The following is a 25,624-nucleotide window of genomic DNA, read 5'->3' as shown; positions in this document are numbered from 1 at the left end:
GTAAAATGTGCCTTTCATCTTCCACCATGATTGTGAGGCCTCCCCAGCCATGTGGAACTGTGAGTCCATTAAACCTCTTTTTCTTTATAAATTACCCAGTCTTGGGTATGTCTTCATCAACACCATGGGGTAACAGAGTACCCCCACCTACAAACCTGGTGGACTATATAACGAGAAAATAAGAAATGACATACAGAGAGTACTTGATTGGTACAGCTGGCATGTACCTTCTTTGGGTGTAATCTGGCAGCTTTCAGCCTCTGGTTGTCTGCAGCTACTGTGATTTGAGACTCAGCTACTTGTTATAAGGGTTTACTTTTCATGAAATTACAGTCTGTTTACACAAGTTAGGTTATAGTTCATAATGTATGGAGAAACCATTATGCCAAACTCAAAATATGTACGGTGGCAGCTTTAGGCCAAACTTAATTCAGTTTAATGCCATAAATCACAAATCCATCAAGATAGCTAGGTTTAGTTGTATTTTTTCTTTTTCTTTCTTTCTTTTTTTTTCTTTTGGTGGGAGCTGATGAGAATTCTGTTGACTAACATGTTTGCATTTAGAACAAGATAAGCATTCTTTTAGACTAATAGTGTTTTTGCAAGTTTTGAGGACGCTTATGTTTTTCTTATATTGTTCCAGGAAGAGAAAAGGTATTGGTATGTACTGTGACTGACTGACATGTCCCATTTAGGCTTATCTCGTCTTAGAATCCATCTTTTGTAGCAGTAGGTGATCACCCTAACAGGACAGGGAGAATAAATGTGACTTACTTGGCATCATAGTAGTGAGTTCTGCACTCTCTATGACAGAGGCAGGCTAATCCTTAACCTGAAATTTTCAGCTATGGCTTTGTTTTCCTGATCTCTTCAAAATCAGATTGTTTACCTTTATTTCCTCAATTCTCTTTCCAATTCACTAGAGTCAGGCTTTTATCCCACTTATTTTCCTGAATCTCTTGTCATGGTTAGTAATCATCTAATTATTAGTGGTGTCTTTAATCCTCATCCTATTCCATCTGAGGCATTTGACTCTACTTCCAGGCTTCTGCTTTCTTATACTGTAATGTTGTGTCACTCATTGTTATGTCCTTATTTCTTTAGCTACTCTTCTATGACCTCTTTGTAAATCTCGATTGCCCCAGGTTTTTGCTTTTTGTCTTTTTGCATTGTAGATATCCTGTCTGAGTGATCTTATCCATATTTCTTTCATTATTTTTCTGTAAACATGCTTATTATAAACCATTTGAATAATTTGAACAAGCAAGAATGAAAATCACCTGCCATAACACCTATGGAAAACCATTGTTACATTATTTACATTACTTATCCAACTGCTTGTCTTACCTACAACCTTTGTTTAAATGACTCTAAAATCCAACCTCCATTGCATAGTTTTCCATCAAGTTCCAAAATAATATTTATGGCTCCTTAAATTATAAAAAGAATTGCGAAAAAGCACAATCCTTTCTTTAAGGAACTCATAGTCCAGTGAAGTAGCTCTCAATCTGGCTGCAAGTTAGAATCACAGACCAAAAATTTATTTCCAATTTAGGGATCTGAGGACAGGGTCCAGGAGCCAGATGCCAGTGCATAGCCAGGGTTAAGAATCCCTTGTGTAATGGCTATATTTCAAAGTGCCATTTATTTAATATCTACTCTATGCCAGGCCATGTGGTATCCATTTGTTCTTTCAACAAATATTTTTTCAGCCCTTCTTTTATGTTTACCCCTGGCCTAGTTACCGGGAACACATCAGAGAACAAAAAGAGAGTTTCCATTCTTATGGAGATTATGAAATGGTAAAAAGAGATAGACATTATACAAATACATGAGAAGTGGTGATAAATGTAGGAAGAAAAATAAGGGAGCTGAGGGTATAGGGATGTGTGTCTATCTAAAAAGTCAGAAAAGGGCTTTGGATGTTACAGCATTTGAATAATGCCTGAGTGAAGAGGAGACATCTGGGGAAGGATCTTCCAGAAAGAGGGAATAACAAATGCAAATGCAAAAACCCTAAAATGATCATGCACTTTAAGTGTTCAGAGGAGAGTGACCCCCTGTGGCTTGAGCAGAGTGAGAGGGACGTGGCAGGAATTGAGACCACAGGGGTCATGTGGGTGGAGTGTGGCTGATCACATGGTGCCTTTTAGGGTGTGTGAAAGACTTTGCCTTTTATTCTGAATGAGATGAAGGCCTTAGAGGCTTTTGAGCACAGATGTAATCTGATGTGATTTATGTGTAAAAAGATCAAACTAGCTGCTATGTGGGAAATAGACTGCCAGAGATGTGGGTAACAACAAAGGAGTTAGGATATTACGAAAATATGGGTGAGGCATTATGGCAGCTTAGATTAAGGTGTTAGGTGTGGAATGGTGAGAAGAAATTGGATTTTTTATATATTTTGTACATAAAATATATTTATATATATGTATTTTGGAAGAAATGATAGGCTTTTCTAAGGTCTCCTAGGGAGCAAGTTTAGCTAAAAAGAAGTAGTCAAGGACCAAGTGCTAGGGCACATCAGGAGAGTTAGAACCAATGGACGATGGTGTCCCAGAGGTCAAATAAAGAAAGTGTTGAAGAAGAGGGTTGATGGATGAAATCAAACACAGTTGTTAGATCTAGTGAGAGGAATATTGAAACAGGTGTTTTTATTTAGCAAGGTGAAGGTCTTTTCAATTATCTTGAAAAAAGCAATTTTGACTGAGGGAGAGAGGTAAAAACCTGATTGGAATGGGTTCAGGAAAGGGAAGAAAGGAGGCAACACAGTGAGAACAGACACTTGTTTTGAGGAGCTTTGCTAGTCAGGGATGAAAAGTGGTAGTAACTGAAGGGGGAAGTGAAAATAGTTACTTGGTAAGAGTAATGCTGAACAAAGTATACTTCAACATGTCTTCTAAATGCAAGATTTTGTTCTAAGAATAGCAGCTGTTGTTTTATTATGATGTCTTGTTTAAGAGTCTCTTAAAATGAGGCATACTTATAATTTTCAGTCTTTTAATTTGAGACATTTTGATCAAGCTCATCCATTTTCTTTACAGCACATGACTTTTCCCCCCTCTTTCTAGTTTGGGGATATCCTTTTGTATTACTTTTCTGGGGACAGCTATAACAAAGCTCCATAAACTGGGTGGCTTACACAACACAAATTTATTGTTCTGCAAGCTAGAAGTCCAAAATCAAGGTGCCAGCAGGCTTGGTTCCTTCTAAGGATTATGGCAGAAGGATCTGTTCCAGGCTTCTCTCCTTGGCATGGATGGCCATCTTCTCCCTGTGTGTCTCTTCACATCCATCCTCACTCTATGCTTATCTCTTTGTCCAAATTTCCCTTTTATAAGGATAGCAGCCATATTGGATTTGGCTCACCATAATAACCTCATTTTAAGTCTATTGCTTCTGCAAAGGACCAAATAAGGTTACATTCAGAGGTACTAGGAGTTAGGACTTCAGCATGTGAATTTTTTGGGGACACAATTCAACCCATAACACTTTACTTTCCCATAGGCTTATTTCTGAAGTTTTATTCTAATGACACTTAAAATTTTTCTGCTGGGTGATATTTAGGCACAGTTACCAGTTACTCAATCCAGTCGTATGTGTCATTTGAAATGATTTGGGGTGGGAGGTGGCTTTTCTGATATAAAATGAACACTTGCCAAATTATAATGAATATGATGTCAGACTTTTCTTAGATTTCTCATTTAATTTCATGTTTAAAACAGTAGAACCAGCAAGCTAGTAGAAGGAAACTATGTCTACTTTGGGAAGAAGAGATAAATCAAAGTGCCTTCTCTGGGAAAAACCTTACATTAAATATATGTACCATCTCCCTGGTCTTATTAAGATGGCAGCACAGCCTAGTTCTAAATAAAGGCCAACATCTGACCCCACAGTATATCACCTTTAGTATAGAGAGAAATTAGGTTTATTAGAAGAAATTTTGTTGTTGCACCAAGAAAAATATTATAGAAATTGGCTCATATTTGTATATCTAGGTGTACGATCCAAGTAAATGTTTTCAGCTAATTTCTGGGTATCCCGTTCTCCCTGAAGAGTTGCTTCTTTTTCAGCATGAGGTTTTAATTGGGATACAGGCCATTATGATGCATCCTCATAAAACAGTTGGCTTTTATTTGGAGACTGTAAAATACAGATCGTATTTATTATGGATTTTATTTAGAAAGTGTAAAATACAGATCATAATTAATGACTGTAGAGACCCCATTATCTCTAAGTTCTTAGTGCAATAAGAAATAATGTAAATTTAACTGTGGAATAGAAAATGTATTTTTATGGGCCTATCACTCCTTTATAGGCTTACGGCAGAATACAAGATCTAAAAAGAACAAAACAGCTGTGGTAAAAATTAGTGTTAAATAAAATATCCAATAAAATTTGGATGTTTTCCAAATTACTTTCTAACTGGGAATTCTAAAGTTCAGCAGTTCCCTAAAATGGCCACTGAATGACTCTCTTGAGAGAGTCTTTTTTTTTTTAATTCCTAACTTTGTATACTTTAAATAATTTCTTAAAAATTTCATGTTGTTTAAACATGAAAAAAGTGATTCAACAAGAGACTAGATTTTTTAATCTAGAGAAAATAGTAAACATATTCTCCATGGCTTCTTCACAGATAAAACCTAGTGATAGTTCCCATACTAACCATATTAAACATACAATTTATTAATGATAGGTTTATGTCCAGGCTTCACAGTTTATCTCACTGATGACCACGGCTCAATGAAACCTAAATTCAATCTTCCTCTGCACCCATGAAATCACAACTCTTCCAGCTTTCCCCCTTACTTTCTCATGTTCAGCTATTCTGGAAAGGCATCTTTTTCTCAGTGCTTTCTTAGTGACTGTACTGATAAAAATACAAACAGCATATGGAAGTAGATATATGCGTAGGTCTTGATTTTGTGTTTTGGTAGACTGGTTTATTCAAGCAAATACAACAGGAGAATATGTTTGTTTAAGGTTTGCTTTTGTGCCAGTTGCTGGTTTTTCTCTTTTTTGGCCTGCCAGAAATATACACCTTTATTTCTACACTATTTGATAAACATTTCTAATTGACAATTTTTTTCATTGAATTAATTAGCTCCTTCAAAAATATAACATATGTCTAACATGTTGAGGAATTTTGAAGAATTATGCTCAAATTTGATTTTACTTGAAATGTTTTAAATTTAGTAAAATTATTTAATGTTAGAGGCTTAATAGTTCTTCAATATTATGTAAAAAATTGGCCTTAATTTACAGTAGCTTGAAAAGCATAATCTAATTTTAATTATCCAGAAGAAAAATTTTTAATCACTTTTTTTGGAAGTGAATTGATTGGCAGGTAATGCTCAATTGGTTATGTGTGCACCAGAGTGTGGTGGGATAAGCATTGGCCTGTGAGTCAAGAGACCCAGTTACAAGATTTTACTTGTCATTAATTGTGTGACCTGAGTAACTTGCTTTCTGCTGGACTCCATCTTCTCATTTGGCAAAGAAAGAGACTGGTTTAGATCATCTGTAAAGTCCTTTCCAAGCTTGACATTTTATGACTTTATTTCTTCTTGTTTTATATTTTTAGATAAAATAGGAATTAGGTCTTTGCTTTTTGTTCGATACTCTTGACTGAAGGGGGATTTTTCCTGTCCAATATGGTCATACTGGGCAGAGAATGTAGCTTGATGGTTTTTAGAAAATAAGCATTGTCTGAAAATAGTCAACAAGAGGGCTTGGTGAATCTGCCAACAGATGACTGCTTCTACAATTTCATTTAGTCATCTAAACGAATTGAATTTAGACATTTAGCATGAAATACTTAGTATTCCTCAAGACAAGGTTTAGGGACCATAGAATGTCTTAGCCTTCTATAATTCTGACTTGGTTTATCAGGTGACCTACAGTATGGAGGAATCATAATCTTATAAATTACATCCATGACAGCCTATGGTTTTTTTTTTTTTTCTGTAGGAAAAGACTCTTAGGTCAGTGATGTAAGGCAGGCATGGGTGATACTTGCTTTTTATTTTAAAAAATAAATTTTATTATTGCCTCAATTTCAGAGCCTGTTATTGGTCTATTCAGAGATTCAACTTCTTCCTGGTTTAGTCTTGGGAGGGTGTATGTGTCAAGGAATTTATCCCTTTTTTCTAGATTTTCTAGTTTATTTGTGTAGAGGTGTTTATAGTATTCTCTGATGGTAGTTTGTATTTCTGTGGGATCGGTGATAATTATAGCTTACCAACCAAAAAAAGTCCAGGACCAGATGGATTCACAGCCGAATTCTACCAGAGGTACAAGGAGGAGCTGGTACTATTCCTTCTGAAACTATTCCAATCAATAGAAAAAGAGGGAATCCTCCCTAACTCATTTTATGAGGCCAGCGTCATCCTGATACCAAAGCCTGGCAGAGAGACAACAAAAAAAGAGAATTTTAGACCAATATCCCTGATGAACATTGATGCAGAAATCCTCGATAAAATACTGGCAAACCGAATCCAGCAGGACATCAAAAAGCTTATCCACCATGATCAAGTGGGCTTCATCCCTGGGATGCAAGGCTGGTTCAATATATGCAAATCAATAAACGTAATCCAGCATATAAACAGAACCAACGACGAAAACCACATGACTATCTCAATAGATGCAGAAAAGGCCTTTGACAAAATTCAACAACGCTTCATGCTAAAAACTCTCAATAAATTAGGTATTGATGGGACGTATCTCAAAATAATGAGAGCTATCTACGACAAACTCACAGCCAATATCATACTGAATGGGCAAAAACTGGAAGCATTCCCTTTGAAAACTGGCACAAGAGAGGGATGCCCTCTCTCCACTCCTATTCAACATAGTGTTGGAAGTTCTGGCCAGGGCAATCAGGCAGGAGAAGGAAATAAAGGGTATTCAATTAGGCAAAGAGGAAGTCAAATTGTCCCTGTTTGCGGATGACATGATTGTATATCTAGAAAACCCCATCGTCTCAGCCCAAAATCTCCTTAAGCTGATAAGCAACTTCAGCAAAGTCTCAGGATACAAAATCAGTGTGCAAAAATCACAAGCATTCTTATACACCAACAACAGACAAACAGAGAGCCAAATCATGAGTAAACTCCCATTCACAATTGCTTCAAAGCAAATAAAATACCTAGGAATCCAACTTACAAGGGATGTGAAGGACCTCTTCAAGGAGAACTACAAACCACTGCTCAATGAAATAAAAGAGGATACAAACAAATGGAAGAACATTCCATGCTCATGGGTAGGAAGAATCAATATCATGAAAATGGCCATACTGCCCAAGGTAATTTATAGATTCACTGCCATCCCAATCAAGCTACCAATCACTTTCTTCACAGAACTGGAAAAAACTACTTTAAAGTTAATATGGAACCAAAAAAGAGCCCGCATTGCCAAGTCAATTCTAAGCCAAAAGAACAAAGCTGGAGGCATCACACTACCTGACTTCAAGCTATACTAGAAGGCTACAGTAACCAAAACAGCATGGTACTGGTACCAAAACAGAGATATAGACCAATGGAACAGAACAGAGCCCTCAGAAATAATGCCGCATATCTGCAACTATCTGATCTTTGACAAACCTGACAAAAACAAGAAATGGGGAAAGGATTCCCTATTTAATAAATGGTGCTGGGAAAACTGGCTAGCCATATGTAGAAAGCTGAAACTGGATCCTTTCCTTACACCTTATACAAAAGTTAATTCAAGATGGATTAAAGACTTAAATGTTAGACCTAAAACCATACAAACCCTAGAAGAAAACCTAGGCAATACCATTCAGGACATAGGCATGGGCAAGGACTTCATGTCTAAAACACCAAAAGCAATGGCAACAAAAGCCAAAATTGACAAATGGGATCTAATTAAACTAAAGAGCAAAATAAACTAACATCAGAGTGAACAGGCAACTTACAGAATGGGAGAAAATTTTTGCAATCTACTCATCTGACAAAGGGTTAATATCCAGAATCTACAATGAACTCCAACAAATTTACAAGAAAAAAACAACCCCATCAAAAAGTGGGCAAAGGATATGAACAGACACTTCTCAAAAGAAGACATTTATACAGCCAAAAAACACATGAAAAAATGCTCATTATCACTGGCCATCAGAGAAATGCAAATCAAAACCACAATGAGGTACCATCTCACACCAGTTAGAATGGCAATCATTAAAAAGTCAGGAAACAACAGGTGCTGGAGAGGATGTGGAGAAATAGGAACACTTTTACACTGTTGGTGGGACTGTAAACTAGTTCAACCATTGTGGAAGTCAGTGTGGCGATTCCTCAGGGATCTAGAACTAGAAATACCATTTGACCCAGTCATCCCATTACTGGGTATATACCCAAAGGATTATAAATCATGCTGCTATAAAGATACATGCACACATGTTTATTGGGGCACTACTCACAATAGCAAAGACTTGGAACCAACCCAAATGTTCAACAATGATAGACTGGATTAAGAAATTGTGGCACATATACACCATGGAATACTATGCAGCCATAAAAAATGATGAGTTCATGTCCTTTGTAGGGACATGGATGAAGCTGGAAACCATCATTCTCAGCAAACTATCGCAAGGACAATAAAACCAAACACCACATGTTCTCACTCGTAGGTGGGACTTGAACAATGAGAACACATGGACACAGGAAGGGGAACATCACACACTGGGGCCTGTTGTGGGGTGGGGGGAGGGGGGAGGGATAGCATTAGGAGATATAACTAATGTTAAATGACGAGTTAATTGGTGCAACACACCAACATGGCACATGTATACATATGTAACAAACCTGCATGTTGTGCACATGTACCCTAAAACTTAAAGTATAATACAAAATAAATAAATAAATAAATTTTAGTTTAGTTTATTCACTAACCTATGGCTGTCAACTGCTGAGGCCTTATTTACTCATTTGAAAATGATCATATTCCACAGGGATGTTTTATAAGACAATTATTCCTAAATAGAGATATATCACACTCTGAGCTGGCAAAAGCTCAACTTTGTAAAGATGTCTGTTTGCCTCATTTTAATCTGTACATTTAAAAGAATAGCCCCCAATCCAAATATAGTTTTGCCTCCTTGGGAATGTGTATCTGTTGAAGGTGTAAGTTAGAAATTTAAATGTTCTTCAGGTTTGTAAGATAGACTTTGTTCTGAGATTAGCTGGGAAAATGCTGAAAAATAAATGTGTTAAAGAGAGGTATTCTCATAACTTACAGGTGAGAGTATAAATGATTAAAGACTGTCTGGAAACAGTTGGGTAATATTTATCAAGAGCTTTAAAATACATGTTCTTACCAGGTATTCTGTATCTATTTCTGTAATTATCTTAAGTAAATTGGTTAACTAAACAGTGGTATACGTAGAAGGTTGTTATTCATCTTAGTGTTATTTATAAACAACCCACATTTTTAAGAGGTGACTGGTTAAATATATTGTTTCCTTATGATATGGATATCATGAGTCATTAAATGTGTTGATATGGCAGTATATTTATTTACATGGAAGAGATTTACAATATATTAGGCAGAATACAAAACATCTTATGAAGACATTGGTGTAGGTATATATGCGTGTGTATCTATTTGGGAAAATGTGCAACAAATTAACTGTGATTATCCCTGGGTGGCAAGATTATGTATGTCTTGTCATCCTTTATTTCACATATAAAGCTCTATTTCTAGTTTTTCTACAGAGATCATGGATTCTTTGAGAGGAAGTAAAACATAACAGTTAAAGCAGTTGAGAGGGTTGAACTCAGTCTGGCTGGGTTTAAATCCCAGTTCTATCACTTACTAGCTGTGTAATCCTTAGCTAGTCACTTTATTCTGTGTTGTTCTAATCTGTAAAGTAGGGATAATCATAATAGAAATTAATAATACCTACCCCATAGAGTTGTGAGGATTAAACATATTTAATACATATGAACTCTTTAGAACAGCTCATGCTACTATATTAATGTTAGACTTTATTATTTTTGTAATAAAAGTAGCACATGCAAGAGAAACAGACACACTAGCATACCTGGAATCTACTGGTAGAGGAAATGGTCTCAAGCGATTGAAATGATTTGGTAAATTTTAAAGAGGAATGTGATGACTGGATGTTTACTTTTTTCTTTACAATTTCTAAATTTTAAATTTAAAAATTATTAAGGCTAAATTCATTTAACATAAAATTAATCATTTAAAAGTGAAAACTCAGTGGCATTTAGGATATGTATAAAGTGTGCATTGTAACACTCCAAAACATCTCCATAATTCCAAAGTAAAACCCTGTAACCATAAGGCAGTTTCCATTCTCTCCTCCCTGCAGCTCCTGGCAACCACTAATCTGCATTTTATGTGATTTATCTATTCTGGACGTTACATATAAATGTAATTCTGGAATATGTTACCTTCTGAGCCTGGCTTTTTTGACAATATAGTATTTTAGAGGTTTATCCACATTATAGTAATATCAGTACTTTACTCCTATGTCTGAAAAATATTTCATTTTATGTATATACTACACTTTGTTTTACATTCATCCATTGATGGTCACTTGGGTCCTTTTCACCTTTTGGCTGTTGTGAAGAGTGCTGCTATGAACAGATGTTTGCTTTTATTAATAATAGTTTCTTCTGATATCAAAGCTGTATATTTAAGATAGAAAATTTAGAAAATACAGAATTACAATTACTTCAAATTTATGTTTTGCTGTGGTACTTTCAGTCTTTTAAAATATGCACACATATACATATGTGTGTATGTAAGTGCATATATATGTATTAAAACCCATAGCTGTGTACAAAAATATACTTAAAAGAGCAATTGGGATGATGGTACACATTGTTTTCTTGCACTGTTTACTGTTTAACATTTCTGAACACTTTCTGATGTGTTATAAGAAAATATTGGTATAACATAATTTTAAATGAAAAACTAAAAATATTGTATATGCTATATTGGTATAAAATAATTTTTAATGAAAAACTAAAAATATGTTATATTGGTGTAACATAATTTTGAATGAACAGAATTTATTTTACCAATATCAAGTGATAAAAGTTTAGCTTTTGACTTCTATATTAAGTGCAATGAATATCCCTTTATATAGAATACTACTTAATTATTTTCTAGGGATAGAGTCCTGGGAATAGAAATGTTTTGTCAATAAGTGTGTACTTTTAAGGCTTTTGACACACTGCCAAATTTCCCTATGGAAATGTTATACTGATTTACATACTACCAGCAATATTTGAGTGTCTGTTTCTTCTTCTGATTGCCAATATACTTTTATTCATAATCACTGTTACTTTAACAAAAATAGTGTCCAGTTCATATTTTAAAATTTCTATTTATATAAAACATTACCAGATACTGTTTTCTTCCTTTTGTGAATGCCTGCTTAATGACTTTTAGTGAGTTTTGTCTTTTTCCTAATGACCAGAAGAGATTTTTGAAAAATATAATGGGCTGGGCATCGTGGCTCATTCCTTTAATCCCAGCATTCTAGGAGGCTGAGGTGGGCAGACCGCTTGAGCCCAGGAGTTCAAGACCAGCCTAGGCAACATCTGAAATGAGGTCTCTACAAAAAATACAAAAACTTAAATTGGTGTAGTAGCATATGCCTGTGGTCCCAGCTACTCAGGAGGGCAAGGCAGGAAGATGGCTTAAGCCTGGGAGGTTGAGGCTGTAGTGAGCTGCGATTGTGCTACAATACTCCAGCCTGGGTGACAGGGCAAAACCGTGTCTCAAAAATAAATAAACAAAAATACAAAAATACAATGAAGATGTAAATCTTGACAATCTGTTAGAAATATATTTTTTTCTATGTTGCTGTTTGTCTTATTTTATCTATGGTATTTTGGTCACAGAGAAGTTAAATGTCTTAACGAAGTGATCTCTGTCATTTTTTGCTTTTTTCTAGAAGTTTCTGCCTTGCTCACATGTTTTTCCAAGTCTCCCTTAGGTGATTGGTGTATATGTTTGATAATGAGCAAAACATTCTAATATTGTCTTGTTTGAACATGGAATACTGCTTGTCTTAGTATTTATTTTGCTACATAACTTTCTCCAGTGACTTATAAAAAAACTACAGTTAACTCAAGGCTACTAGTACACTAAGTTTAGGATCTGAATTTGAACCGTAAGCTCAGAGACAGACACATATCACAAGAAAACAAGTGCATGTCTGGGATTTATTCAGGGAACCCATTTCCACAATATATGCTTGAGTCCAAACTCATTCATGTAGTTTCTCTCTGTATTTGTCTGTGTCCACAGCTTTATAACTTGCATTGAACTTTCGGGCACTAAGATCCTCATTCATCAAATAAGTATTAAATTTTGTTCATCATACTCCATTTACCTACAGGAAATTGAACCTGTTCATTTTTGGGTGAAATTGTTTTTACCTTTTGAAAATCATCTAGCTAGAATGCCTCATTTCTTAGACAATCCAAATCATTTGCCTTTATTATAAATAGGCAAAATATTCCTACATGTCAGGGAAATAAGTTATATGAATTGATACTAACCTATGTGAGTATCTAGCATTTTTTCTCTCATTAAATATAGAATTAGAAGTGACTTTTCTGGCCGGGCGTGGTGGCTCGCGCCTGTAATCACAGCACTTTGGGATGACTAGGCGGGTAGATCACGAGGTCAGGAGTTCGAGAACAGCCTGGCCAAGATGGTGAAATCCTGTCTCTACTAAAAATACAAAAATTAGCTGGGCATGGTGGCGGGCGCCTGTAATCTCAGCTACTTGGGAGGCTGAGGCAGGAGAATCGTTTAAACCTGGGAGGCAGAGGTTGCAGTGAGCTGAGATTGCGCCACTGTACTGGGCCTGGCACCAACCTGGGCGACAGAGCAAGACTCTGTCTCAAAAAAAACAAAAACAAAAGAAGTGACTTTTCTGCCAGTGTGAAATGGAACTTCTGTTTACTTTAGGCTGATGATGTTAATGACAATTATTAATCTTTATCTGCTTTTATTTTATTTTATTTTATTTTTTGAGACAGTCTCACTCTGTCACCCAGGCTGGAATGAGGTGGTGAGATCCTGGGTCGCTGCAACCTCTGCCTCCCAGACTCAAGTGATCCTCCCACCTCAGCCTTCTGAGTAGCTGGGACTACAGGTACACACCATTATGCCCGGCTAATTTTTGTATTTTTTGGAGAGACGAAGTCTTGCCATGTTGTCCAGGCTGGTCACAAACTCCTGAGCTCAAGTGTTCTGCCCACCTAAGCCTCCCAAAGTGTTGGGATTACAGGCACGAGCCACCACGCTCAGCCTATTTTTGTGTTTTACTTCTGATAGATCTTTTAAACAAACAAACAAACAAAAATATGTGTTTATTATAAAAGAAATTAGGAAATATAAGCAAACCAAGCATTCTGAGTACTCTTAATACCTTAGCATATATTCATTCCCCTTTCATATGTATGCATTCATTCGCATTTAATAAAAATTCATTTTTATACTCATCTATTATGAGCATTTTTCCAAGTCAGGGGCAGATGTATACAATTTGAAATAAGTACAGAATTCCACTGTGTGGATATATCAAAATATATTTCAGCAGTTCCCCATCGTTGATCATTTAGACTGTTTTCTACTTCTTGCCATTACAGTTCATAATAAACAATGTGATAGTAAAATCTTTGCTGTATTTAGATATTTATTTTTAGATATTTCCTTGGATAAATTCCCCCAAAATGGAGTGTATCTAATTTTTGAATCTTACAAGTTTTTGGAGAGAGAAATGAGATTGCCAGGAATGTAAAAGCTGAGGATTGGATGTCTTTTCAAATTTAATACATAAAATCAAATACAAATTTCGTCTTCAACATTATGGCATTTATCTTTTTTTCTTTTTCTGTGATAATTCATCTTCCTCTCTAATTTATTTTTCCAACTGTGGAAAATGAATGTAAGAGAATGAGTAGGATAGGAATCTAAAAGACTTGTTTTCTATCTTTATTCTTGTTGGAAAGTTGGGTTTTGGTTACTTTTTGAAGACAGGTTTTTGGAAAGGAGATTTCTTTTATTTGATCATGCTTAGTCTGTTGTTTTGACATTTAGAGAACTTTTTACTTTGGGTGCTGCTGTTTGCTGATGATGACTCACCTTGTTATCAACTTTTACCTTTTCCTTTTCCATGGACATTCAGAACCCACGTTGTGTAGTTACTGGGCGAGATTACAGGTATAGAGAGAAGATTGGTTCATTACAGTTATGTTATATTATATATTATATATATATATAATAGTTACTATACTCCGTATAGTTACGGAACTGGATGTGGCAAATACTTCAGTATGGTCAGTTCTTACATCATTGATAAAAGCAATTGCAACATTACCTGTAAATTTTTGGGGCATTGCTCTTTTCTCCTGTGATTTCTACCCATCTTGTACCCATCCTCTTACTGCTGCATTATTTCCAGTGCTTTAATTAAGAGCACTGGAAATGGACTGTTAACTGACACCCTACTTTAAGAAAATTTGTTGTGTAAAGAGCCCAATCTGAAATATGAAATACAGGAATATTCATTATCATTAGAAAATATATATATATTTTTTGAGATGGAGTCTTGTCCATCCCTATTTCTACCCATCCCCTTACTTGTAAATCCTAAAACTTTCTAACCTAGAGCTTTATATTTTATCAGCAATGAATAATCTCATTCTGAAAACAGAGATACATTTTGAGTCTAAAATATCCCTATACACATAAACACTAACATACAGAACAGTTTCATTTATAAAAGTCTTTGAGAAATGATGACCCATTTCTCTGTCTTGAAGATTAAGAATTTTCTGTTTGCTTTCAAGTATTTAGATTTGTTTGTCTCAGGTTTCAGTTTCACAGGAATCACTAAGCACAGAAAAGGACACAACACTAATTTAGGGAAGACTTGAGAGTGTGAAGGTAATCACACCTTTAGAAAGAGATTTGTTACCTGGAAAGGAAACTGCTGCATTACTTCCAGTGCTTTAATTAAGAAACTGGCCTGTTAACTGACAACCTACTTTAAGAAAATTTGTTGTGTAAAGAGCCCAATCTGAAATATGAAATACAGGAATATCATTATCATTAGAAAAACATATATATTTTTTGCTCTGTCACCCAGGCTGGAGTGCAGTGGCGTGATCTTGGCTCACTGCAACCTCTGCCTCCTGAGTAGCTGGGAGCAGTTGGGAGTAGCTGGGAGTAGCTGGTTCAAGCAATTCTCGTGCCTCAGCCTCCCGAGTAGCTGGGACTACAGGTGCCCGCCACCATGCCCAAGTAATGTTTTGTATTTTTAGTAGAGGCAGGGTTTCACCATGTTGGCTAGGCTGGTCTCGAGCTCCTGGCCTCATGTGATCCACCTGCCTTGGCTCCCAAAGTGCTGGAATTACAGCTGTGAACCACCATGTCTGGCCAGATTTTTCATCTTTGAAGGACTTAAAACAGAAAGCCTTTTAGTAAAAAGGTTTTATAATTTTTGTTAGTGAGGAATTAAAAATAGTTTATATTTGCTGAATAAATTTTAGGCAGGAGAGTAGGAAAGAGCTAGGATTAAAATTGGTGTCAGATAATGTCTAAAGCCAATAACTTATTTTTGTGTCCAATAAGAAACGACCTTTAGACAGTGTTGCAGTTCACAACAGATTTATCAGCTTTGTTTTTGGTCTTATATTTTGATAGAGAATATTGATAAAGATTGTTTTGATAAAATATTAAAATTAAAAGGCACTTTTTGAATATAGTGCAAAAATATTTGCAAAAAATTAAAGACAGACTTTGTAATATTCTAAATGGTTATTTCTTGTGAATATAAATCTGTCATTCTATTAGCATGTGCAAATTTATTTATTATATGGTGATAATTTATAGTCATAGCAGTTGCTTTTTTTTTCCTGCAGCGCACCACTTCTTTTTTTTTCTACCAGCTTTACTGGTATGAAATCAATAAAGATATAATTATATATGAAAACTGCACATCTTTAATGTATACAATTTGATGTGTTTGGACAAATGCATACACCTGTGAAACCATCATAACAATCATAATAATAAACATATTTACTATTGCCAAAAACTTCCTCCCATAGCAGTTGTTTTTTGAAGTGAATTGAACAATATTTCATTTTTATGGAGTGTTTTAGTGTGTTCTTGTGTAATTATATTACAGGAATCAAGAGCTCTCTATAGTGGGTAAGAGAAAAATTTTGCAAATTTCTTATGTTAAATTGTTGATTGTATAAATCAAAATTTAAATTTTAAAATATGCACTCATATTTGCTTCACTTAATCTGGCAAAATTGGTTTTTAGTTATTTCTTTAAGCGTCACATTTTTTGTGACTCACATTGTGATTGTGTTTATTGATAGAGTGGATGTGGTGTTGACATAGGTGTTCTTGAAATTCTGTGTGTAAACCCGTGTTTGGCCATTACATTCTGCTTCGTATTATAGCTTCATCTTCACAAAATCCAGTATTACTAAGTAATTGTCTGGAAATGTCACTTTTATAAGCACTGAAGCTTTTACCATAAATAGTTAATTCTTATTATTCATAGTAGTTATGATCTGTGAAGTTGCCATGAAGACTGAATTAGCCAATACTGAACAATTGGTCCTAGAAAAAAATACAAGAGCCTCTGGTCTTATTTTTGTCAGCAGATTGAAATATAATGTTGTTTTACATGTGTTTCCATTTTAAGAGATCTTATTTAATCTATGTTGTTGATTCATTAATGTTGAACTCACAGCCAACAGCACCGTAACTCATACATGAAGGAAGCTTGCCTAACATGTATTTTCTCTGTAAGGAACATCAAAGCCTTCTAGGAACTCTAGACAGTACAATGTTCTGGGACCATTTTAAAGCAACATAAAGCAAAAAAAAAAAAAAAAAAGTGAAAAACATGGCACGAAATATACTGGGAAAAGGACACTCAGTGACAGTATGGGAGCTGAAACAAGAAGGCAGAGCATCACCTGTTGGTCTCAGCTGGGAATGTGTGTGTCAGGTGACTCCAATATTTCACTGCACTGTGCATGTTCACACATAACTAGGAAATTACTGAGTATTGATTTTGTGGTGATAAGTAAATTTTAGCAAGTAAAATTTGCAAATATGGAATCACCAATAATAAGTCTCGACTGGCTGGTTTTTGAGGGAAATTTTTCTATTTAATAAAATGAAATAAAATTGAACATAAGTTAATTTGATGATGTAAGCTAATCATTGTGGAGATGCTTATGAAGGGAATCCAACATTTACTGAGAGTCTGTCATTGCTGTTCCTGGTGTGTTTGACTCTACATCAGTGTCCCTTATAATTCACCATAATCTTCTTCACCACCTGCTCCTTCCTCACTCCATCCCTGCTGGTACTTCTCAATGTGGCAACTTTTAGGTATCTAACACTCACCTCACCCTGTCTTGCTTGCCTAATCTGCTGTCTCATGTTACCTAAGAAAACCCTGGGCATTTTAAAAATAATCAGAAAACAAGCTCATTATATGATTAAGAATAGCTTTTTGATATGAGTTAAACTCAAGTTTAGTATGAGGGACTTGAATACATTGTCTTTATGACAGTATTTTCCCTTCTGATTTTAGGGTATTTGTTAACATTTTTTACCCCGATGTATGTATGAGATGATTTATAGTGCTAGAGCTTTTGCCACTAGATCACTGGGAACGATTGAGCAAGCTTGGGTTAATATCTTGAGCTTCATTCTCTTCTATTGAAATTGAATATAAACTGTGATATAAAGTAGACCCTTCTTGGCCATTTTTGCATATATTCTTGTGGTATATTATCTTCATTTTGTAAGATTGGAGACTGAGGTCTGGAAACACAAGATAAATATCTTAGAGTAATAGCAGAAATGATGAGGAAGTTTGCAAAGTGCTTCTTTGTGTTCTATTTGATGGCTTGTTACTGCAATAGCATGATTTTGTGCTTTATTTCCAACCTATTTGGGCCAGCTTTAACATTTTTTATGGTCAATTTTTTAGAGGATTTTCTAGTCATTAAATTTCTTGGATTTTAGAATAGTGCTTTGCTGGTCACACAGCAGTGGCAGGCTGTGTGAACTTTCTTCTCTTCTAGAACAGTTGCAGATTTAAAGCTACCTTCTGCCAAAGGACCCATGGAAGATATGACTTTTGTTATACTTTGTTCATTCAAGTTGGAATGTTCTTTTAAGCCCTGCTAACATGAGATTAACTCCTATTTTATTTTTGTTGCAATGAAAGTATCTGTTCAGATACTTTCTGAAAAGTACCGAACAGAGTACTGAACAAAGTACTTCTAAAAAGTATGTGAACAGAAAGTACAGATACTTTGTGTACAGACATCTGTTGTGTAATGCCTGTCCTAAATGCAAAAATGATCCCTAGCTTAGGAGAGATATGATATAATTGAATAAAAACATACTGACTGAATGTAGAAAGAGTAGAACTAGACTAATACTGTGGTTAGTAGCCATTTGTGGATATTGACTACTTTTTTTTAATTTCTTTTTGAGAAGGAGTCTCACTCTGTCACCAGGCTAGAGTGTCATGGCACAATCTCGGCTCACTGCAACCTCCACCTCCTGGGTTCAAGCAATTCTCCTGGCTCAGCCTCCCGAGTAGCTGGGACTACAGGCATGCGCCACCATGCCCAGCTAATTTTTGTATTTTTAGTAGAGACAGGGTTTCACCATGTTGGCCAGGATGGTCTCAATCTCCTGACCTTGTGATCTGCCCACCTTGGCCTCCCGAAGTGCTGGGATTACAGGTGTGAGCCACCACGCCCGGCCAGATATTGACCACTTTAAATGTGGCTATTTCAAATTGAAGTGTGCTATATGTGTAAAATACACATTGGATTTAGATTATTTAGTACAATAAAAGAATGTAGTTTCTCATTAATATTTTTATATTGTTACTGTTCAAATGGTATCAAGTTAAAATATATTATTAAAATTAATTTTACCTGTTTTTAAAATCATTTTAATGTGACTACTAGAAAACTTAAAATTACACATGTGACTTGCATTTATAGCTTATATTTCTATTCAGAAGTATATAATATATAGCTGGTACAGATGTTATGCTGAATATTTAAAACATATAGACCCTGTCTTTTGTTTCTGTCATCTTTCTTCCCCTCCTATAAATATACCTTTAATATTGTTAGAAAGTAAAGAAATATGAAAAGCTTATTCAATGATCAACTCCCTAGTGACCCACCAACACATTTCTCATTATAGGTGGTTGTTATGTGCTTCTGTGAAAGCTCCCAAGACACCAAGTTGGTAAAAGCTGGATAAACAAGGCTGTATTTTTTATACAACAATGTTAAGCCAGTTGGCAATTTTGTGAACTCACTGAAACGGAAAAATTGTACTGAGTATTTGTATTAAAAAGAGTTATAAATATCTGCAATTATTACTCAAGTATGAATTATTTTAAAGTTTGTTACTATCAATAAGAACCGAATATTACCAGAGCATTCAGTAGTATTAGGAGTTTTAAAAAGCTGGATGCTATTTTCAGGTATACAGACATGGATTCAGTCTAGGAAAGGTTCTCTCCTTTATTACTTTGTTTAATGCAGCATGAAGTCAATTGTTCATTTGCAAACATGTTTTGTGGTGGTGTATTTTCTTTTTCTTTTCTTTTTTTTTTTTTTTTTTTGAGATGGAGTCTCGCTCTGTCGCCATGCATCTTGGCTCACTGCAACCTCCACTTCCCGTGTTCAAGCGATTCTCCTGCCTCAGCCTCCCGAGTAGCTGGGACTACAGGCACGTGCCACCATGCCCAGCTAATTTTTTTGTATTTTTAGTGGAGACGGGGTTTCACCATGTTGGCCAGGATGGTCTCGATCTCTTGACCTCATGACCCGCCCGCCTTGGCCTCCCAAAGTGCTGGGATTACAGGTGTGAGCCACTGCACCTGGTCGGTATATTTTCTTTTTAAAAATTTATCTAATCCAGGACAGTGCTGACATTTTTTTATTTTCCAAAGCCTTTATTTTAAAAGTAACATTTTACTCATATAAACTTGGACAATGTAAAATTATGTATATAGTGGTTCCTCTGTATCTGTGGGCTGCACATCTGTGGATTCAACCAACCTCAGATTGAAACTATTTGAAAAAAAAAATGGCATCTGTCCTGAACATGTAAGGATTTTTTTCTTGTCATTATTCCCTAAACAGTGCAGGTATTGTCTTAACATAGAATTTTCACTGGCTTTATGTTTTTAAACTATAATAGTACCTGTCTGTGAATTGTGCAGATTGTGCTATAATATCCCTAGAGAAATGGTAAAGACAGCAGCAGAACAAGGCTCTTCTCTGTTCTACTCAAAGGGTCATCTCTTCTGCCAGCTCTAAAAAACAATAGAAATTCTTAGAGAAACTCACATTTTAAAAGTTTTTAGTGATCCTTCAGTAGAAATGCATAGAAATGTATCAGAATTCATTGTTTTTTTCTGAAATGCTAGAGGATGCTTAGTCTTCCCCTATGTAGCCTATAATTTTAGTTCTGTGTTAATATGAACACTGATGAAAGACATAGGTAGTACTTCTGATAGTACATTTTCACTTCCTACGTTGGAGATTTATTTGACTCCATTTATATCTGTTAAATCAGTTTAGCTCTACTTGAATCCCAGTTTCAAAGATTTCCAACTGGAAAGCTGACAAAACTATTGGTGTGGGTGGAGAGTATTAAGAATTTTGCTTTTAGTTTTTCTCCCATTGGAATACAATGTATTTGTTTCTAAGAATTATAATCAGTTGTAGACTGAAGCTTTGTAGGAAATATTAAATGTAAATTCCACTGTAAAGTTTGACAATAGCCACAGGCACAGATTTTATTTCTGAAACTGGGAAAAGAGACCTCTAGAGAAATAGAATGGTTTGAACTTGGACTTTTTTTCTTTCTTTCTTTCTTTCGTAATGAGTTTACCTGGAAAGACCTTCAAAGGTAGTGTTTATAAAAAGAATTTTATATACAGATTTTAAAGGATGTTCTTTAAAGCTTTTTTAGGTTTACTGGAGAAAAACAGAAGAGCTAATAAATTCATACAAATAACCCTCGTTGTACTGTGGAGGGTGTTAATAGCTTTCTTTAAAGATGAACTTGTAAAATGCTTTGTGAGCATTCTAAATACTTATTAGCCTGCTTGACAACCAGTGGTTACCTTGGGCCTTTTTATTGCTAGAGGTGAGAAAGCCAGAGAAAGGATTTGGAAACACCAGTCTTCTTCTGCTTCCTTTTGGTGCAGATCTTTATTCCTGCTTTTCTGTACTGTTGGGTTAGCCTCTTACTTGATTTTATTTTTGAAATAGCCATTATTTCACTACCTTTCCTAATCCCAAAACACTGGGGTACTCCACTGACTATATTAAATTTATGTACCTCTGGCATTCAAAACTCTTCAATGATCTGGCCTCAAACTGTTTTTCAAGTATTTTCTCTTACTCTCTATTCCCAAGGCAAACTGTCTCTTTTCAGTTGTTGTGATAAATCCTGTAATTTGTTTCTTAGTGTCCTTCTTCCTAATGTTCTGTCTGTGTAAAACACCTTTGTGGTTCATTCCCTGTTTCTATTATGTATATTGAAATCTTTTCCATAGATTGAATCTCTACTTCCTCTTCCAAGCCACTGTGGGATCTCCCAGGTTGAGCTAAATGTGCTCTTTGCCCTTTAAACTTTGTACGGTTTTTGTAGTAATTATCAAAATTCACCTTGCTTGATGGTTAGTTGCATTTATGTCTTATCTATTCTATAAGGAAGATACATACCATGTCTCATAGGTGGTTTTTGTTGTCGTTGTTTTGTTTTTTGCTCAGCATTGCTTAACAAAATTAGGGATCTAATTTTTTTAAATTCATCAGTCAGTGAATTCAGGTATGTTCTCTCCTTCAAATTGTCATAAATCCAGTGTACAACTGTTTCTTATGTATTGTTTTCCACTTATGAAATAGCTTTTTTTGTGGCTCACTTATGTTTCCCCGATTCCTTTTTTGTAGGAAATTTTCATTAAAAAATTTTAAGCTCAAAGAAAAATTGCAAGGCTAGTACAAGGAACTCCTGCACATCCTTTACCCAGGTTCACTGTTTACATTTTGCTCCAGTTTCTTATTCTCATTCTCTCTCTCTGTCTCATTGTTTGAACTATTTGAGAGAAACTTGGAGACATTATGGCCCTTCATCACTAAATAATTCAGTACATATTTCCTAGGCTGGGTGAAGTGGCTCATGCCTGTAATCCCAACACTTTGGGAGGTCAAGGCAGGTGGATCTCTTGAAGCCAGGAGTTTGAGACCAGCCTGGCCAATATGGTGAAACCTTGTCTCTAAATAAGTAAATAAAAATACTTTAGTACATCTTTCCATAAGAACAAGGTCATTCTTTGACAGAACAATAGCACAATGATTAAAATCAGAACATTTTACTTTGATGCATATTTCTGTCTGTAGTCCCTATTCAAATTTTATAAAGTGTTTCAATGATGACCTTTATAACTATTTTCTCCCCAATCCAGGATGCAGCCTAAGATCTCACATTGCATTTCTTTATCATGTCTCTTTAGCCTTTAGTCTGGAATAGTTCTTCAGTTACGTCTTTCTTGATGTTGATACTTCTGAAAAGTATAGATCTGTTATTTTGTAGAATGTCTGTCCAGTTGGGTTTGTGGAATGTTTCTTCACGATTAGATTGACATTATATGTTTTTGACACAAATAACACAGTAGTATTCTTTCCAGTGCATGATACCAGGAGGCATGTGATATCATTGTGTTCCATTATTGGTGAAGGTAATTTTTTATCATTTGGTTGAGTATGACAGGACTTTCACTATAAAATTACTGATTTCGCTTTGTAATAATTAGCAATTTGTGGGGTGATATAGTAAGACTGTATAAATATCCCGGTCCTCATTAAACTTTCGATCACTAGTTTTGGCAACCCTTTAATGGGTTTCTAACTTTGTCATTCTTTCTCTGCATATTAATTGACCTTCTATTGAAAAGAAAGCCTTTCCCTTCTTCCTCATTTATTTATGTCAATATGCACTGATGGATTCTTATTTTAGTTAATAGTTTTGATTACTTATTTTGATGCACAAATTGGCCTAGATTCAGCTATTGGAAGCCCCATCGAGCTAGATGCCATGTTACTTTACCTGTTTCATTCATTCTTTGAGCACTTCTTTACTTTTTGGCACAAGCCGTTCTAGGCTTATCATATACTTTTCCTGCCCATCCCTCAAATTATTCTCTTCTCCAAGAAGCCCTGATTCCTTGAACCAAAGATGATATTTAGAAACTGACATCTGGGAACCAAGCATGTTTGTTCTACTGAGTGTTCTTTTTTCCCCTAGATCTTCCAAGTAGATAAATCTAGAAAATGTGTGTTTATGTCTGCATATAAACGTGTGCATATCTACCTCTTTATCTTATTTCATTCCATATCTGTTCATATTAAAAACTACAAGTTTGTGCTGGTAACATTAATTCCACTTGAACAGCACAGTGTACATTCATGTCTTTATCTTTTTTATACTTGTAACTACTTTCTCCAACAATGAGAAACCTGGTTTCAGTTATACTCAGTGTATATACTCATTTGCTCAAGTCTAGAATACATGGAAATTGGTTTCAGAATTGTTGGCCCATACCACTGCAGAAAGCAAACCTACTAACTAGGGTTCTGTATTTGTTTACTTTTTTGAGGTACAGTGTACATACAATCAGATGCACAAATGTTAAGTGTACAGTTTCAGCTTTGACACATGCACATATCTGTGTCAAGACAGGGTACTTCTATCACTCAAAACACTCCATTTTCTTTCCAGTTAATTCTCTCTCCAACTCTGCTGCCCAGAAGCAAACACTTTTCTGACTCTTTTCACCACAGTTTAGTTTTGCTGGTTTTAGAACTTTATATAAATGGAATTATACAGTACATACTTTTGTGTGTGTGTCTGGCTTCTTTCACTCAACATCATGTTTTTTGAGATTCATCCACATTGTTATGCATATCAGCAGTTTGTTTCTTTTTATTGCTGAGCAGTGTTCCCTTGTATAACTGTACCACAATTTACCTATTTTTCTGTTGATGGACATTTGGGTTGTTTCTAGTTTTCAGCTATTTTGAATATAATAAGTGGCTGTGAATATTTTTGTACAAGTCTGCTTTGTGGACATTATGGTTTTATATCTTTTGGGTAAAATCTTGAGTAGAATGGCTGGACCATTGGATAGGTGTTTATTGAGCTGTATAGGAAACTACCAAACACTTGTTCCAAGTTGTTTTCATTCCTATCTGCAAGATGAGTGTTCTAGTTGCTTCACATCCTTGTCCACATCCTGAGTTTTCAGTCTTTTTCTTTCTTTCTTTCTTTTTTAAATTATACTTTAAGTTATGGGGTCCATGTGCAGAATGTGCATGTTTGTTACATAGGTATACATGTGCCATAGTGGTTTGCTGCACCCATCAACCTGTCATCTACATTAGGTATTTCTCCTAATGCTATCCCTCCCCTAGCCCCCCACCCCCCAACAGGCCTTTTTATTGTGACAATTCTAGTGGATGTGTAGTGGTGCCTCATCGCGATTTTAATTTGCATTTCCCTGGCAACCAATGATTAAATTACTTCTGTAATTGATTAATTAAATTATTAAATGACTTTTTAATGTGTGTATTGGTCATTTGTATATCTTTCTTTGGGAAGTTTCTGTTGAAGTCCTGTGCTGATTCTAAATTCTAAAACTCATTCTGGTAAATTTTAGCCCCGTGTATGTGCTAAAAGGTTAGCTAGCAGTGGTTTATGAAATGTGATCACAAAAAGCCAATTTTTAATTGAATTGTAGAAGCTTTTAATATATTCTGAGTGCAAATTCTTTGCCAGAAGTATGTTTTCAGAATATTTTCTTCCAGTCTATGACTTGCCAGTTCTGTTTTCTTAATGTCATGTTTTGGTGAGCAGGAATTTTAAATTTCAGTAAAGTCTTATTTACCTTTCTTTCTTCTTTTATAATTATTGCATTCTGTATTTGGTCAAAGAAATCTTTCCTACTCTTGATCATGAAGATAGTTTCTTGTTTTCCTCAAAATGTTTATAGTTTTAACTTTAACACTGAAGCCTATGACCCACCTTGAATTAAACTTTGTACCTAGGTATGAGAGTAGGAATTGAAGTTTATTTCTCCATTTGGATATTCTGTTGTTCCAACACCATTTGTTGAGAAGATCTTTTCTTTCCTTACTGAATTATTTTGGCACCATTTTGGAAAATCAGTTGTCCACATCAGTGAGAGTTCTCTGAATAATTTTAATTACAAATATGGCTTTGATTTTCATTGAACTGTTACTCTATATTTCAAGCAGTATTCATAAAAACCTACATTCAGCTTTTACCTAGGGAAATCCTGTTGTGTTCTGAATACTCTTTCCTTCAAATGCCAGGACAAATCATTGTGTTTTTTGCTGTTAGGTGAAATATGTCATGTGTGGATCTAGCACATATGCCATTTTCTTCTCTCAACATTGTCCTTTTGCCAATATAGAAGGCTTCCTGGGTAATTCTTTTTTAGCCCTATTGA

At 35.3% G+C, this 25,624-nt stretch overlaps 1 protein-coding gene across 7 annotated transcripts in view, besides 1 other annotated feature; it reads left to right on the top strand.

Moving 5' to 3' along the window:
• Positions 1-25,624, top strand: part of ELAPOR2 (endosome-lysosome associated apoptosis and autophagy regulator family member 2) — a 182,749-nt gene that overhangs the window by 28,703 nt on the left and 128,422 nt on the right. The window lies entirely within an intron of this gene.
• Positions 9,332-9,532: a silencer, noted in NCBI's record as "peak6623 fragment used in MPRA reporter construct". NCBI's record gives its function as "represses an SCP1 promoter by STARR-seq MPRAs in K562 erythroleukemia cells {active_cell/tissue: K562}" and the evidence as "EXISTENCE:reporter gene assay evidence [ECO:0000049][PMID:32103011]".

Source organism: Homo sapiens, chromosome 7 (assembly GCF_000001405.40).
Source record: "Homo sapiens chromosome 7, GRCh38.p14 Primary Assembly".
Taxonomy (NCBI): domain Eukaryota; kingdom Metazoa; phylum Chordata; class Mammalia; order Primates; family Hominidae; genus Homo; species Homo sapiens.
The sequence above is the reverse complement of the archived record's forward strand: the minus strand, read 5'-3'. Positions and strand labels throughout refer to the sequence as shown.